This window comes from Homo sapiens, chromosome 19, assembly GCF_000001405.40.
Source record: "Homo sapiens chromosome 19, GRCh38.p14 Primary Assembly".
NCBI classification, from domain to species: Eukaryota; Metazoa; Chordata; class Mammalia; order Primates; family Hominidae; genus Homo; species Homo sapiens.
This window is the reverse complement of record NC_000019.10, coordinates 29,737,868-29,755,430: the sequence shown is the minus strand read 5'-3', so window position 1 is coordinate 29,755,430 and position 17,563 is coordinate 29,737,868. Positions and strand designations below refer to the sequence as shown.

Here is a 17,563-nt window from a genome sequence, read left to right as displayed (position 1 = left end):
CTCCCATCTCAGCTCCCAAAGTGTTGGTATTATAGGCATGAGCCACTGCACCTGTCTAATTCTTAATTTTTTGAGTCAGTGTCTTACTTTGTGACATAAGCTGGAGTGCAGTGGTATGATGATGGCTCACTGCAGCCTCGACATTCCAGGCTCAAGCAACCCTCCTGCCTCTGCCTGTGGAGTAACTGGGACTACAAGGGCATGCTGCCCGGCTAATTTTTATATTTCTTGTACAGATGTGATCTCCCCATGTTGCCCAGGCTAGCCTCGAACTCCTGGCCTCAAGCAACCCTCCCACCTCAGCCTCCCAAAGTGCTTGGGTTAGAGGTGTGAACCACCATGCCTGGTCCCAGGCAGCATCTTGATTCCACCCTCATCCCCCACATCCAGTCAGTCCCCCGGACCTGTGGATGTCACCTGGGTCACTTCAGTACCCATCCCAGGATCCTGATGAGCCCTTGCCCCCAACCCAGCCATCTCTGCCTCTCACTTGCAGCAGGGAGAGCTCCAGCATTGGGACCTTCCCTACTCTGTGTCATCCCCCCAGGACTCAGGCCCGTGGGGGCTGCCAACGGGAGGGGAGGGACTCAGAGGCCTGAGGCTCCCATGGCCTCCACCAGCGACAGGGGGAGTCCCCACACTGTGAGCACAGTGGGGAGAGGGCTTTGCTTTGATGCAACATTTGTTGGCTTTTTAAAAAAATGTTCAAGCTGTCAAAAAAGTATGTTTGTTGAGTTTGGATGTTTGTGTTGGAATGTTATTCTCTTGAGCAACACTGAAGAGGGATGGAGATGCCTGTTCTGTGCAGCCAGCATGGCGGGCAGTGCGCTGCAGGGCTGTCCAGCAGAGATTATAAAGACACACACCGGTGGGCTTGGGGGACCCAGTGCCTGAAGCATCTGGACCTCATGACTGGGACACAGTGAACCGGCAGAATGTGGAGCCTAGGACTGTTTCTCATCAAATCCGCTAAGCCGCCTGCAGGCAAAGCTTGATCTGGGGACACAGCCTCGCCACTGCTGTCTCCTCTTGGCTGCTGCACTTGTCTTGACTCTCCCTGCCCCGGGTGGCAACTGGGCTTGAGTGACACAGTGTGTCATGATTTGTAAAGCAGATGTTTGACAGTATCAGATTTGAGAGAATACAAGAAGTAAAACCCGGTACACGTTGATGTAAGATGCATTCTGCCATGGAAATGACTTCTTGGTGCAAGGTCCCAGGGCCAGGCAGGTGTGAAACTGAGGGAGGACCCTGGGCCCCGCACCTGCAAACTCGGGCCCCAGCGCCTGCAAACTCCCTGCAGGTAGTCTGGCCGCTGAGGGCAACTCAGCCTCAGGAAAGCCCCAGAAGCCTCAAGGGTGAACTGGAGGCAGTCGTGGGTCCTCCTTGATTCTAGAGGATGAGGAAACTGAAGCAGGGCCTACTGTTGGTCTCTGACCTGGGGAAGAGGCACAGCATCCCTGCACTGGAGGGTAACTGAACTGCCAGGAGGGTGGCAGGCCCCTGGGGTGGTGACTGCACTCTGGGTCCTTTGACCCAGGGAGGGGGACTTCGCAGGTGGAGCACAGTGCCAGGTCCAGCCCAGCCTTGAACAAAGCGGGGTCCTCGCTCCCACGCTCAGCCAATCAGCAAACGGCATTCTCTGGCCTCTCTGAGTGGGTCATGGCTAGAGTGCATGTGATCTAATCTGACCAATGAAAACAGCCGAGTCCAGGGGCTTGACTTCTGCCTTCTTGCTTCATTTGCATGGGTTGCGTTTTAAAGTCTGGGTCCCCTGCGAGAAAGGAGCACCTTGTGAGGATGACCGAGGAGCAAAGGATCAGGAACTGGGAAATATTAGGAAACTGATGACACAGGTGGAGGAGCTCCTGCCCCCCTCCCCGCTACCCCCGTGCACTTTTTATGTGCATGAGCTAATACATTGTTGTTTTTGCTTAAATGTTAGTTTCATTTGAGCTTTTAAACTTGCAACAGAAAGCATTCCGAGTATTACCCGGGTTGGATTCCCTTTTACCCTGGAGAAATTCCTGAATCTTACTGGAATCCTCTGTGCCTCCGTTTCCTCATCTATAAAATGGGAATAATAATAGTACCTACGCTGTAAGGCTGTTTTGATGATTAAATGAGTTAATACTTGGGAAGGGTTTGAAAGAGTGTCCCGGGACCAAGTAATTGCTAGGCACATGCTTGTGATTATTACTATTGGTATCATCATTAGGTGCCTGGGGGCTGCTCACCCCCTTCAGAGACTTCAGCCCAGACAAGCCTAATTCTGGCTCAGGCCACACCTCTGGAACCACTAATAAGAGAGAGAAACCCCTGAGCTGGGGCTGGTCTGACTTTCCAATAATTTATCAAGAATCGAGAGCCAGATTTCCTCTGGGAAATACTAGTTCTTGGGTTTACAAAGTGCCTTGGCTGTAAATACCCATAAAAACGACAATTTGTTGGGCCATATTTATTCTTAAGCTGGTCAAAAGATATTAGTGCGTTCTGACTGTGTAAATCTGCCAACTCCTGAATTCCTTCATGCTCCCGGCATGCCCTCCTATGTGGGCATGAGCAAGCCAGTCGAGCCAGCCAGAGCCGGGCATGGGTGTTCATGACCCTGAGCAGTGGTGGGGGTATCTGCCTGATGACTGAGTCATACGGGTGAAAGGCGGGGTTGGTCTGGCCCCATCAGGGAAAACCTTCGCACAGAGAGTGGTCCCTGGGGCTGGGAAAGTAGAAAGAGAGGCCAGCAGGACCTGACTGCTCAGTGGAGGCTGGACCAGTTGGACAAGCTAGGCTCCTAATGGTGGCAGAGTGGGCCACATGTTGGCTGTTATGAGAGCACCTTCTGAGGGGCAGTCCCCGGGGCTCCTCGTGTTCTGGCCGTAGCTCTCTGACCCTCCCCACATCTTCACCTCCAGAGACACTTCTCCCTTCCACCTCCCAGAGGCTGCCCCCAGCCCTCTGCCTATGCAGTTCCTACACCTGGAATGTCCTCTCTCTGCCTATCCTAACTCTCCTTGCAAGTCAAGGCTCAACTCACATCCCTTCTCGCTGAGCTGCTGTGGCAATAATGGATACCACCTAGTGTTTCCTATTTCTCGTGTACAAGAGCAAATGTAATTTCCCTGAGGCAGAGCCCTGTGGTTTCCATCTCTCAGTCCTCAGAGCACCTAGCACAGGGCTGGGCACCTAGCCCGTCACCTGGTCAGCACTCTTTGCATTTCTCCCTGATGATGAAAAAAAAAAGCAACACGGTAATTGTCACTATTTACTGACTGTGCAACATTGTTAAGTTTTTTAAATATATTATCTCATTTAACCATCACAGGCTCAGAGATGATTATACCAATTTGGGAGATGTGGAAACTGAGACTTGGAGAGAAAGTGTGATCTAGCTAGAGACTAACAGAGCTGAGATGGAAATCTGGCCCATATAGCTGGGCATGTGGTGCACGCCTGTAGTCCTAGCTACTCAGGAGGCTGAGGCAGGAGGATTGCTTGAGCCCGGGAGGTGGGGATTGCAGTAAGCGGAGATCGTGCCGCTGCACTCCAGCCTGAGTGACAGGGTGAGACCCTGTCTCAAAAAAAAAAAAAAAAATTGGGGCCATGATCCCAACCTGTTTAACTTTGACTCTGGGCACATGTCCCTGTGTCCAAACAGGTAAAACCCACAGAGGATATAGTTGCTAAGATGGCTTAGTTAATTCAGGAAGGGAGGGTTGCATTTAGGAACGCAAGATTTGTGATCCACTGTCTTTGTTTTGTTTGTTTGTTTTGTTTTGTGTTTTTTTTAGACAGAGTCTCACTCTGTCACCCAGGCTGGAGTTCAGTGGTGTGATCTCAGCTCACTGCAACCTCTGCTTCCTGGGTTCAAGTGATTCTTCTGCCTCAGCCTCCCAAGTAGCTGGAGCTACAGGCGCACACCACCACGCCTGGCTAATTTTTGTATTTTTAGTAGAGAATGGGTTTCACCGTATTGGCCAGGCTGGTCTCGAACTCCTGACCTCAAGTGATCCACCCGCCTCAGGCTCTCAAAGTGCTGGGATTACGGGCGTGAGCCACTGTGCCCAGCCTTGGGCTCCACTTTCAATTCTCTATTTGAGTGTAGATGTGGCTCCTGGAATACTGGGTAAATTTGTGTGTAGACATTACTCTCTGCTTTGGAAGATACTGACTTGTATGAAGATCTTGTAGAACACTGTGAGCCATAACCAACACAGGTTAATGTACAGTTGGTGTTCAACAAAGGCTCAGACATGACATTGACTAGGGCCCGTAGCTCCATGTAGCCTCCATGAAAACAATGTCCAACCACCTTAAATAGCGTCCATCTTTTTCTTTTGATGGGTGGTGTCGCAGGCAGGGTTTTAAAGTGCAAGTAAGAGGCTGGGTGCAGTGGCTCACACCTGTAATCCCAACACTTTGGGAAGCTGAGACAGGCAGATCACTTGAGGTCAGGAGTTTGAGACCAGCCTGGCCAACATGGTGAAACTCCGTCTCTACTAAAAATAAAAAAAAATTAGCTAGGTGTGGTGGCAGATGCCTGTAATCCCAGCTACTTGGGAGGCTGAGGCAAGAGAATTGCTTGAACCTGGGAGGCAGAGGTTGTAGTGAGCCGAGATCACTCCATTGCACTCTAGCCTGGGCGACAGAGCGAGACTCTGTCTCAAAAAATAAAAATAAATATAAAATAAAATAAAGTGCAAGTAAGAGGTTAGAACAAGAACAGCATTCAGGGCAGCTGTTAGGTGGCTTGGGGTGGGTGAGAAGGACCAGCTGGCCACCAGATTTCATAGCTAAAAACATCAGGAATTGTGGACACAGCCCACAGCCCTCGTATCTGAGAAATCCTCACCTTCCAGGTAAGCACTGCCCACTTCCATTTGCCCGATTGCTAATAAATCATGACTTCTTCCTTGCATATAGACACTCTCTGCGTTTTTATTCCAAACATTTAACTTGCAGAGTTGACAGAAAGGCTATAGATTTCCCCCCAAATATCCATTTGCCTTACCATTTATCTACTTTGATCTGAAATACAGAACCTGATGGGTGCCCTAGGTAAATCAAGCATTTCCTGTCTTCCGAAATGGGTTTGCAAACGCTTATTTCATGCCATTACCATTTTTCTGTTTCTAGCAGTAAATCAAAAAAGTATCGCCCATTCATCCACTTTAAAAGTAATGTCTTTCTTATGCATAATTACACATACCCAGTGGAGATCTGTGTGTGCACTGTAAATCTACTCTTTTAAAAGGTTTCCCCTTAAGTACATTGGTGACATAAATTGGCGTAGAGCAAATTTATTTATTTAATAGGTTTATTCTTTTAACTGGTCTGATAACCATTACTGTTCACTGTTTGGTTTGAGGAGAGGAGGGAGTTCTTATTAATTTATCTGATTTATTTCTATGGCAGATATTTATGTAAAAGCGTTCCTCTGGAAATAAGAGTGAATGTAATTTATTGGTTTAGCAGGTTTATTCTTAACTGGCCTTCAGGCCATCCGCATGGTACTCATAGAAATTGGGAGAGTGTCTTAAAATAATTGAAGTAAGAAAAGGAGGTGTGGCAGACCAGAGGGAGAACATCTTGGAAGCTTGCATTTGGACGAAAGTTTTCCTAAATACTAGACTAAAGGAGCAGAAGAAGTGATAGAAAAAAAGAATAAAGGGAAGAAGAAAGGAAAGAAAGAAAAGAAAGAGAAAGAAAGAAAAAGGAAGAAAGAAGAGGAAGAGGAAGAAAGAAAGAAAGAAAGAAAGAAAAGAAAGAAAGAAAAAGGAAGGAAGGAAGGAAACAAAGGACAGAAAGAAAGAAAAGAAAAGAAAGCCTCAATAATAACAACCCCAAAATGTTTTGTCAAATTGAAGATAAAAGAGAATCTGCTATTCAGGCCCGTGTAAACTTGCTGGCTTTTGTAAATCTTGTTTGTAGCTCCTGATGGTGTTGGAGTAAAAGCAGACAGGCCCAGCTGGTGGAAGCGAGGGAGAGAAATGCTGAATTTTTAGCAGTTCAGGTTTATTTTTAGACATTGAAGGGTATCTTTAGCTTCCCAGTAAATGAGTCCATCAGAAGGCCATATATGAAATAATTAGAATGTAAAAATACAGGACAGAAACTGAGGGCCCCCACGGCCAGACTTACAATGCAGGCCCCCGCCCTCCCGGCACAGATGGGGTCAGACAAGCTCATTGCACCCTCTGGTCCAGGCTGCCCAAACCCACCTGGAGAAGGACACAGAGGCAGGCTGAGCCCTGGGCTTGTCACTGACATCACCAGCAGGCATAAGGGCCCATCCTGGAACATTGTCCCTGTGCCTCCCTCACATGAGGATCTGGTCAGGCTGGGCACGCCCTTAGGAACAGTGACCCTGGACTGGAGGCTGGAGACTGGTGGCCTTCAAGGAATCCAGAGCTTGGTCCATGGGGGACAGGCCCAGAGCTGGTGTGAACAGGCAAGGTTGGGCCATCAGGAACCAGCATTTTTATTTTTATCTTTTAAATCATAGAGATGGGGTATCCCTATGTTGCCCAGGTTGGTCTTCAACTCCTGGGCTCAAGCAATCCTCCCACCTTAGCCTCCCAAAGTGCTGGGATTACAGGCATGAGCCACCACACCTGGCTGGAATCAGCCTTTCTGGACAGGGAAAGAAGGGTGAGACTTGGAGAATCTTTGGACTCCAAAAAGACCTTTAAGTTGGTTTAGTCCTATCCATTTTCTTTCTTTTCTTTCTTTCTTTCTTTCTTTCTTTCTTTCTTTCTTTCTTTCTTTCTTTCTTTCTTTTCTTTTTCTTTCTTTCTTTCTCTCTCTTTCTTTCTTTCTTCCCTTCTTTCTTTTCTTTCTTTTCTTTCCTTTCTTTCTCTTTTTCTTTCCTTCTTTCTTTCTTTCTTTTTTCTTTCTTTCTTTCTTTTTCTTTCTTTCTTTTTCTTTCTTTCTTTCTCTCTCTTTCTTTCTTTCTTCCCTTCTTTCTTTTCTTTCTTTTCTTTCCTTTCTTTCTCTCTCTTTTTCTTTCCTTCTTTCTTTCTTTCTTTCTTTCTTTCTTTCTTTCTTTCTTTCTTTCTTTCTTTCTTTCTTCCTTTCTTCCTTTCTTTCTTTCTTTTGAAATGGAGTTTTGCTCTTGTAGCCCAGGCTGGAGTGCAATGTCACAATCTCAGCTCACTGCAACTTCCACCTCCCAGGTTCAAGTGATTCTCCTGCCTTAGCCTCCTGAGTAGTTGGGATTACAGGCACCCATCACCACACCCAGCTACTTTTCTATTTTTAGTAGAGTTGGGGTTTCACCATGTTGGCTAGGCTGGTCTCGAACTCCTGACCTCAGGTGATGCACCTGCCTCAGCCTCCCAGAATGCTGAGATTACAGGTGTGAGCCACTGCGCCCAGCCAGTCCCATCCATTTTCTATTCCTAAACCTCCCGGGTCTCCCCCAAGAACACTGAATTGTGCCAGAAGCTGGATGAAACGATCTGACCCCACAGCCTCACATTCTTGTGACACTGAATATTCCTTACAAAATACAGAAATATTTCAGCATGGGATTTTCATTAGGCCCTGTTCTGGCTTGGAGGGTGGCACACCTGCTGTAAACCATGCTCAATCTCTGCCCTCAGAGTAGGCTCCATGTCCCAGAGGAGGTTCCGTGTCCCACGTGCAGGCCGGTGAGCAGTCTAGAAGCCCTTTCATAAGCCCACCCTGTCAGTGCTGGGGAGGCCAGAGGCGGGTCTTCGAATCATTCATCCACCTTTGTTTCTCATGACCTTGAGGCCTGGCACATAGTAGGTGCTCCAAACATATATGTTGAATGTTTTTTATTTTTATTTTTTTAAATTTGAGACAGGGTCTGACCACGTTGCCCAGGCTCTCTCAAACTCAAGCAATCTGACCCCAGGCTAGGCTGGTGTAGAACTCATGACCTCAGGTGAGGAGTTCTGGCCCTGGGAACGTAGCCCACCACCAACATGGTGAAACCCCATCTCTACTAAAAATAGAAAATTAGCTGGGCGTGGTGATGGGTGCCTCATGCCTGGGCCTCAGGTGACGGGTGCCTGATCCACTCACCTCAGCCTCCCAAAGTGCTGGGATTACAAGCATGAGCCCCATGTCTGGCCTATTTTTTCTTTTATTTAATTAATTTATTTATTTGAGACAGGATCGGACTGTGTCCCCAGGCTGGAGTGCAGTGGCGTGATAGTAGCTCACTGCAGCCTTAACCTTCTGGGCTCAAGCAATCCTCCCACTTCAGCCTCCTGAGCAGCTGGGGCTACAGGTGTGCACCACCACACCAGGCTAATTTTACTTTTATTTTTTGGTAGAGATGGCGTCTCACTGCGTTGCCCAGGCTGGTCTTGACCTCCTGACCTCAAGAGATCCTCCTGACTTGGCCTCCCAAAGCGCCAGGATTACAGGTGTAAGCCACCGTGCCCAATGCCTGTTGAGTGTTGAGTGACAGCAAGACAGGCAGAGTGAGAGTGGCGTCCTTGCTTCACAGATGAGTGAGCAGGGGCATTCTAGGTGCTATGAAAGGCCACCTGCAAAGTGGCCACATCTAGCTGCCTGCCAAAGGACCACAGACGCTGCTGGCCAGGGCCAGGCTCCTGGAAGTGAGGCTGTCACATCTCCTCCAGGTGGTATAGGAGCCCGGCCCAGTGGCCTGCTGCTGTGCGTCTCCTACCTTCCCTGCAGCCATCACTGGCGAGTGCCCCTGAGCCTTGGGGTCCTGTGCCTGGTGACTTCTTAGCTAACGGAAGTACTGGCTTCCTGGCCTCACTGGCCCTGGGAATATGGCCCAAGCCCCTCCAGCAGTAGGAGTCTGGGGCATAACTTGACCTTCAGTGTCGACAGTGCAGTGGAAAAGCCTGGGGGTGGATGCTAGAGGTCTGGGGAAGGCTCCCTGGCTCCCAGACTCTTCCTGCCCTGCCTGCTAATGTCCCCAGACCCACCCGCAGGGCTGCATCACCATGGACCACAGTGGTGGATGCCACTCTATTTTCAGAAAATAGCTTCCAGTTTCTGTATCTGTATCTGTGCCTCTATCTACAATCACTCTCTCGATGACAGATTAGATAGATAGATGATAGATAGATAGATAGATAGATAGATAGATAGATAGACAGACAGACAAACGGGGAGAGAGAGAGACCTATACCTATATCTCAGGAATCATTAGTGTGCTGTACTTTAAAGCTTTTCAGCAGGCTTCGTTCTGTAAATGTGCGCACCAAAACACTAGACAAGTGACAATTACAAATAACAAAAAAGATACATGGCCAGGCGCGGTGGCTCACGCCTATAATCCCAGGACCTTGGGGGGCCGAGGTGGGTGGATCACTTGAGGTGAGGAGATTGAGAGCAGCCTGGCCAACGTGGTGAAACTCCGTCTCTACTAAAAATACAAAAATCAGCCAGGTGTGGTGGCATGGGCCTGTAGTCCCACCTACTCAGGAGGCTGAGGCAAGAGAATCTCTTGAACCTGGGAGGCGGAGGTTGCAGTGAGCCGAGACTGTGCCACTGCACTTGAGCCTGGGTGACGGAGTGAGATGCTGCCTCAAAAAACAACAACAAAAAAAGGCCTTGTTACGGTCTCTGCTCCCACCCTGGCCTCGCTAGAGGCCCCTTTCAAGCCTGCGAGTGAGCCTGGGTTGATCAGACTCTTCCTTGAAGTCAGAGAATTGACAAGAAGCCCAGGGTCCTCCTCTGTCCTGCCGAAGATTTAAAGGGGAAGTTTGGGTAAGAAACAACAAACTTGACCAACTTGACAACGCTGTTTATTTGTTTGCTTTAAAACAAAATCTACTTGTTTGAGGAACAGTGATGAAAATGAGCGAGTGTCTGTTCTCAGGACAGTCTGTCTTTCCTGTGGAACTCAGGTGAGCCAGTCCCTCTGCCTGTGGTTCTCTGGGGGCAGTGTGTTCAGGGAGTCCCAGGCAGGGGCTGGCTTGCTCTGGGGTGTCCAGCAGAGGGCCAGAGAGCTTGCAAGCCAGACCTAGGGGGCTCCCGTGGGGCTCCCACTGCCCATGAAGCCCTTCCGTCCCCAGTGCCTTTGCTCTTGTTGTCCCTCCTGCCCCACCCTCTAGACCCCAGATCTGTGCATGGCAGTTTTTTCTTGTCACTTGGCTTTAATTGCAAATGCGCCCTCTTCGGGGAGGCATTTCCTGACAACCTGATCCAAAGTGCCCTGCCCTGCGGGCCTCCCACTCTCAGCCCACCTCGCTTTATTTTCTCCAGTACACGAATCGCAATCTCCATCATCGATGGCCATGCACCGAATAATGTTTGGGTCAAAGGCAGTGTGCAGTGGTGACAGTGGTCCCATCAATGATAATACTATATTTTTACTGTACCTTTTCTAAGTTGAGATTTGTTTAGGTACACAGATACTTAACCACTGGGTTCCAGCTGCCTGCGGCATTCAGCGCAGTAACGTGCTGTCTGGGTCTGTGGTCTAGGAGCCACAGGCCACACCATGCAGTCTAGATGTGCAGTAGGCAACCCCATCCAGGTTTGTGTAGTGCACTCTGTGACGTCCACACAATGACAACATCACCTCTCCATGCATTTCACAGGACATGTCCCTGTCACTCAGCGACGCTTTAGATCTTGTTGGCTGCCTTCCCCAAGCAGAACATGGGCTCCCTGAGAGGAGGGAGACCATTCTCTGTGGTGACCATTCAGAGCAGTGGTGAGAACAGGGCCTGGCCCACCTGGCAGGTACCCGGTAGGCATCTGTAGAGTGAATGAGAGTAAAGGAGAAAGACTGGCCCTTCCTGTGCACATAGCTGAGATGGGAACTCTGGATGTTGACACAGGTCAGTCATCCTTTGGTTTTTTTTGTTTGTTTGTTTGTTTGAGACAGATCTTGCTCTGTCACCCAAGCTGGAGTGCAGTGGCACCATCTAGGCTCTTAGATTCAAGTGATTCTCGTGCCTCAGGCTCCCCAGTAGCTGGAACTACAGGCATGTGCCACCATGCCTGGAGAATTGTTTGTATTTTTAGTAGAGACAGTGTCTCACCCTATTGCCCAGGCTGGTCTTGAACTCCTCATCTCAAATGATTGGATCTCAAGTGATCCACCCACCTTAGCCTCCCAAAGTACTAGGATTACAGGCATGAGCTGCCGTGCCTGGCCACGATTGCCCTCTTGTCCTTACTCCCAAAAGAAGCTTTTCCTAAGTTATTCTGATAATTCCTGCTTGAGCAAATCTAGATAATTGAGGTATAAGCATTGGGTGGGGCATTTTTTTTAAAATTGTTGTTTTCATTGAAATTGCCTTAATTCTCCCATTTCCTCTGCCACTGTGGACAGGACTAAGCTATTTGGGCCTCCTCTCTCTCTGCTCTGAATCGCTGTCTATCATGGTCACCAGCACCTCTCTTTTTTAAAAAAAATTTTTTTTAAGAGTCAGGGTCTTGTTCTGTTGCCCAGGCTGGAGTGCAGTGGTGCAATCATAGCTCACTGCAGTCTCAATATCCTGGGCTTGAGTGATCTTCCTACCCCAGCCTTTGGAGTAGCTGAGACAACAGGTGTGCACCATCACACCCAGCTACTTTTTTTTATTTTTTGTAGAGACAGAGTCTTGCTATGTTGCCCAGACTTGTCTCAAACTCCTGGGCTTAAGCAATCTGCCTGCCTCAACCTCCCAAAGTGCAGAGATTACAGGTATGAGCTACTGTGCACAGCCAGCACCTTTTCTTGGACAATGACATTTCAGCCAGCCCCTGGTTTCATGGCCAGATCACTGAATGGGCCAAGGCAGTTGGTCCTTTCCTTCTCTTTTCCCTCAAGGGAGGCTTTTCTCCTGCCCAGCATCTCTTTTTTCTTTTTTCTTTTCTTTTTTTTTTCTTTCTTCGACGGAGTCTCACTCTGTTGCCCCAGTGGGAGTACAGTGGCACTATCTCAGCTCACTGCAACCTCCACTTCCCGGGTTCAAGTGATTCTCGTGCCTCAGCCTCCCAAGTAGCTGTGATTACAGGCGCCTGCCATCAGACCCGACTAATTTTTGTATTTTTAGTAGAGATGGGGTTTCACCATGTTGACCAGGCTGGTCTCGAACTCCTGACCTCAGGTGATCCACCCATCTTGGCCTCCCAAAATGCTGGGATTACAGGTGTGAGCCACTGCATCCAGCCCCAGCATCTCTTTTCTGTCATTCTTGTAAGAGCATCCCAGCTAGTCTTGGGGAATCCGTCTTTCTCCACTTTCAGACCTTGCCTCTTGGGTGGGGCCAGCAATGCCCCCTCTAAACCCTGGCCACAGCAAAGGTTTAGAGGGGGCATGAATTGGGCTAGGGAGAGAAAGGGGCCCCTGGATTTCAGCTGGAGCCACAGGAAAGGGCTCTTGCTTCAGGTGTCCTGGGTGTTAGGGCTGGGGGCTGTGCAGCTGCGATGGCACCAACACAGGAGATGTGAGGCTCTGAAGAAGCCGTGGTCTCTGCAGTTACGCCAAGTTTCCTTCATGCCAACACTGGCTTGAGTTGCACATTCTGGCACAAGCTCCTGGGAGGCCCTTGATAGATCCTTGTCTCCTCTGGGCTCCACATTCTGTGCAAACATCTTTATCTGTGGACACAGCCTCGAGCTGGCCATTGACCCTTCCTCAGGAAAGACAGACCCCCATCCACAAGTGTGTGGAGCCTCTCAGTGTCTGGGAACTGCAATGGCCTTGGTCATCCATGTTAGCCAATGACCTTAACCACATACCCACGGGGCCTGGCCACACCCCGTAGCTGACTGTGAAGATGACCCTAAGAACCATATAGGCAGCCAAGAAAAAAAGTCCAGAGACTCTGTGATGAGATGGGGTGAGGGGGGTACCTTAGTCTGTTCAGGCTATTTTGACAAAGTACCGTAGACTGAGTGGCTTATCAGAAACAGAAATTTAGTGGTGGCTCACACCTGTAATCTCAGTACTTTGGGAGGACGAGACAGGTGGATCACTTGAGGTCAGGAGTTCAAGATCATCCTGGCCAACATGGTGAAACCCCATCTCTCAGGTTACAGATTGCAGACTTCATATTGTATCTTCACATGGCAGAAAAGGGGCAAAGAGCTCTCTGATATCCTTTTTACTTATTTATTTATATATATATTTTTAAAGATGAGGTCTTGCTATGTTGCTCAGGCTGGTCTTGAACTCCTGGCCTCAAGTGATCCTCCCGCCTCAGCCTCCCAAAGTGCTGGGATTACAGGCATGAGCCACCACAACCAGCCTGGGGTCCTTTATATAAGGGCACTCACCCCATTACTGTGGGCTCTGCTCTCATGACCTAATCACCTTCAAAGGCCCCACCTCCTAATACCCTCACGTAGGGAATTAGGATTTCAACATATGAATTTTGGGAGGACACAGACATTCAGAGCATAGCAGGAGGTTCTGGTGAGAGGCCTGAAATACTTCCCCGTCATCCGGCTCCATGGAGCCCTCTGGCCCTGTGAGCCTGTCCCTACAGCACCTCCTGTATTTGTTTAGCCAAGTTATCAGAGTGGCCCCAGGGGACGCAAATCAGCCTGAGATGCCAACAATTAGGCTCATAAGCTCCCTGTGTCAATTTGCTCGGATAGTAGTGAGTACATCTTTGTCTGGGTAGAAGCACATCTTCACACTCTGGAGCTATGGAGGGTAAGCATTTTAAGCTGCAAATATTGTTATTCATAATAGGTTAGCAAATATTTTCAGATTAACTAAGTGTCACACTCTGGAATTATGACTGTGAATCTGACAGCTTCCGATGGTGGTGGCTCCTGCCTCGTTCTCAGGCTGGGAGGCCCCAGACCAGGGACTGTCCTTAGGGGATGGGTAGTCAGACCCTCTCCCCCATCGCAGGGATCCCCTCATCCATTTCCACCCTGAATAGTGTCCAATCCTTCTCCTCTTGGGTACCTGTAAGGATGTGCTACTCACTACTTTCAAAGGCAGAATGCATCCCCCGGCGGGGCGGCTCTGGTTGCCAGAGGATATTTTGGGCCAGCCTTGGGTGCACTGGCCTTTATGCTGGCATCACTCGCTCATGGGGTCACTCGGCAAACATTCCTCTCATGGCTACAGATGCCAGAGCCTTCGCTCAGAGCCAGGGAGTCAGAGGAGGAGGCAGCGCGACCCCTGTACGTGAGGAGCTCACCTCCTGGGAAACAGACAAGAGCACACTCAGCTCTTACACAAGACACAGAGGGGGACCCAAGAGGCTGGGGGACTCTGAGACAGGAGCTGGGGGAGTGGAGGAGAGCCTCAAAGGATGGACACAATACAAATCTACCGAGTTGGGGACTGGGTGGATGGAGCAATGGCAGGCAAGGGAGGGACCCTCACCATGGATGTGGATGGTTAGAGAGGCCATGCAGGCGCGGGGAAAGCCGGTGGGGGTAAGCGTGTCAAAAGTCCTACAAAGCCAGGTTGCCATTGAAAGGGGGTGCTCCGTGCTTCTGGAGACACTGTGCACCAGTCTCAGTGACTCTCCACCCTCCTGTCTTCCTCCCACCTCTTGGGCTTCTCCTTAACCAGACCTCTAAAGGCTGGAGTGCTCCAGAGCTGGAACTTCCACAACAAAACTCCTTGCCCAGGACATAGTGTCTCCACCTCCCCTGTAGCTCAAGCCCAGAAACCTGGCAGTCATTCCTGAGGTCCTTTTTCTTCCATCCCAGTCTCCAGACCATAACCAGTGAGTGGGTCTGTCACTACAGAATGTGTCTTCTACCCTGTCTGCTTCTTCCCTACTCCCCTGCCGCTGTGCTCTAAGCCTCCCCCATCTCTCAAGGGCCAGGCCCCCAGCCGGCCTCCTGTATTAGCTCAGGCCACCATAACAAAATACCATGAGCCAGGGCTTGAACAATGAACAGTTATGCTTCACCGTTCTGAAAGCTGGGACGTTTGAGATCAAGGAGTGTCTGAGTCCATTTTGTATTGCCATAAAGAAATACTGGAGGCTGAGTGATTTAAAAAGAAAAGAGGTTGATTTAGTTCACGGTTCTGCAGGCTGTACAAGAAGCGTGACACCAGCACCTGCTCCTGGTGAGGCCTCAGGAAACTTCCATTCGTGGCAGAAGGGGAAGGAGGAGCAGGCATGTCATGTGGCAAGAGAGGGAGCAAGAAGGAGAAAGAAGGGTTCCAGGATCTTTTTTGTTGTTGTTTTATTGGCCAGAATTTTTTATTTCATTTTTTATTTTTATTTTTATTTTTTGAGATGAAGCCTCACTCTTTCGCCCAGGCTGGAGTGCAGTGATGTGATTTTGGCTCACTGCAGCCTCCACCTCCCGGGTTCAAACAATTCTCCTGCCTCAGCCTCCTGAGTAGCTGAGACTATAGGCACGCGCCACCACACCCGGCTAATTTTTGTATTTTTAGTAGAGACGGGTTTTCACCATGTTTGCCAGGCTGGTCTCAAACTCCTGACCTCAAGTGATCTGCCCGCCTCAGCCTCCCAAACTGCTGGGATTACAGGTGTGAGCCACTGCACCCGGCCCTGGGTCCTGCTTTTAAAAGTCAATCTGGGCCAGGTGCCGTGGCTCACATCTGTAATCCCAGCACTTTGGGAGGCTGAGGTGGGTGGATCATGACGTCAAGAGATCGAGTCCATCCTGGCCAACATGGTGAAACTCTGTCTCTACTGAAAATACAAAAATTAGCCAGGCGTGGTGGCACGCAACTGTAGTCCCAGCTACTCGGGAGGCTGAGGCAGGACAATTGCTTGAACCAGGGAGTCAGAAGTTGCAGCGAGCTGAGATTGCACCACTGCACTCTAGCTTGGCAACAGAGCAAGCCTTTGTGTCAAAAAAAAAAAAAAAAGTCACTCTGATCAGTTTTCTTGTGGACCCATCCTTCCTGCCCCTTATCCCACCCCATTCAGTGGCCTCCCATAGCATCCAGGACAAAGTCCCCAGTCCTAGGGGGCTTAGAAAGCCTTGTAGGCCCAGGCCCCCAACCCAGTCCCTGACTCTCAAACCACTGCAGCCAACCCCTTCGTACCAGTTCTTCAGGGGCCACTTCGCATGGACAATTCCTCCACCTTGTTCCACGGCATCAAAGGCTCCTTCCCTGTGTCCAGCTCCCATAGGTCCATAGGAGACAGGCATCTGATCAGATAACCATTCTGGGCTAATGGGCTGCTTGGTGCCAGGGGATGACTGTACCACTCCATCCAGGTCACACCCTTGCGTTTGTTTAAAATTTAATTTAGTTTAGATTCAAGGGGTACATGCGCATGTTTGTTACCTGAGTATATTGTGTGCTGGTGGGGAATGGGATTTTAGTGTACCCATCATCCCACCCCTGCCTTTTTACTGGGATACGGGGAACTACTGAGTCTTAACATACAAGGACTAGCACACAGGGCGGAGGGGAAGGCAGCACCTTAGACCCCACAGCATTTCAGGTCAAAGGGTATTACTCTAGCAATTCCTTTCTGTCCAGGGTTGATCTTGATTATTTTCAGACAGGGTCTCACTCTGTCTCCCAGGCTAAAGTGCAGTAGTGCAGTCAGGGCTCACTGCAGCCTCGACCTCCCAGGCTCAAGTGATCCTCAGCCTCGCAATAGCTGGGACTATAGGCACATGCTACCACGCCTGGCTAATATATATTTTTTAATTCTTTGGAAGTTTTTAAAATTCTATGTAGAGATGGAGTCTCACTATGTTGCTCAAGCTGGTCTCTAACTCCTGGACTCAAGCAATCCTCCAACCTCAGCCTCCCAAAGTTCTGGGATTACAGGTGTGAGCCACCACGTCTGGATGAATCTTGGTTATTTTAATGCAAAATAACAAAAAGAGAAGTTCTTTGCCCCTAAATGAAAGTATATGTTAGGGAAGATGACCTCGTGACAGGTGCTGGCCCTTGTGTCAATAGACTTGAGTCCCTGGTGAGGCTCTAAGGGGCGGGGCTGGGAGCTAGGACCCCCTGGCCCCAGAGCCTTTCAGCTACCATGTGGCTGGGCCCATACCACACCACCCTTCCCACACTCAGCTGGACATCCTGAATCTGGGCCTGAAAGATTCTACATGCAGACAGCACCTGTAGGGAGGGCAGGGGTGGGAAAAGGCAGGCAGGTGAAGGGTCAAGTTGGCCCTAGTTAAAGGCTTAGACCAGCGACTTCACCAGCTGTGTGACTCTGTGGAAAGTCCTCACCCTCTCTGAGCTTCTGTTTTTTGCCCGTGTACATCGGGGGTTGGAAAATGGGGGAGGGAGGGTGTTTGTCTCCATTCTTAAGGGCTATGACGAGCAACCTCAAAGTTTGTCAAAATGAACCAAGGAAGTCGGCCCTTGGGAATGCACCTGGAACAAGTGCACAGTGGGTAGCAGGAGCCAGGTGGCTTCTGGGTGAGAGGCCTTCCTGGTCACCTGCTTGGCTGCATAGCATAGGAAAAGCAAGAGGTGACCAGACAGGAGGTGCAGAGGAGGGCAACCCCAGAGCCAGGCGTGGGCTCAGTACAGCCTGAAGTTGCTTCAATCATGGTATCCAGGACTATTTCCAGTTCCAAGGGGGGGCCTCCAGGAAGCTGCTAAGCATGCGGTTAATCCTCAGGTCTCCTTGCCCGTCGGGCGAGAAGGAAGTTTTGGCTGCTCAGGAAGGTCTGTATCCAGGAGAAA

At 49.7% G+C, this 17,563-nt stretch overlaps 2 annotated features.

The window, feature by feature from the left end:
- Nucleotides 9,526-10,025: an enhancer, noted in NCBI's record as "H3K4me1 hESC enhancer chr19:30236313-30236812 (GRCh37/hg19 assembly coordinates)". NCBI's record gives its function as "activates a minimal SCP1, AML or CMV promoter by ChIP-STARR-seq in primed H9 embryonic stem cells {active_cell/tissue: H9 hESC(primed)}" and the evidence as "EXISTENCE:reporter gene assay evidence [ECO:0000049][PMID:30033119]".
- Nucleotides 10,026-10,527: an enhancer, noted in NCBI's record as "H3K4me1 hESC enhancer chr19:30235811-30236312 (GRCh37/hg19 assembly coordinates)". NCBI's record gives its function as "activates a minimal SCP1, AML or CMV promoter by ChIP-STARR-seq in primed H9 embryonic stem cells {active_cell/tissue: H9 hESC(primed)}" and the evidence as "EXISTENCE:reporter gene assay evidence [ECO:0000049][PMID:30033119]".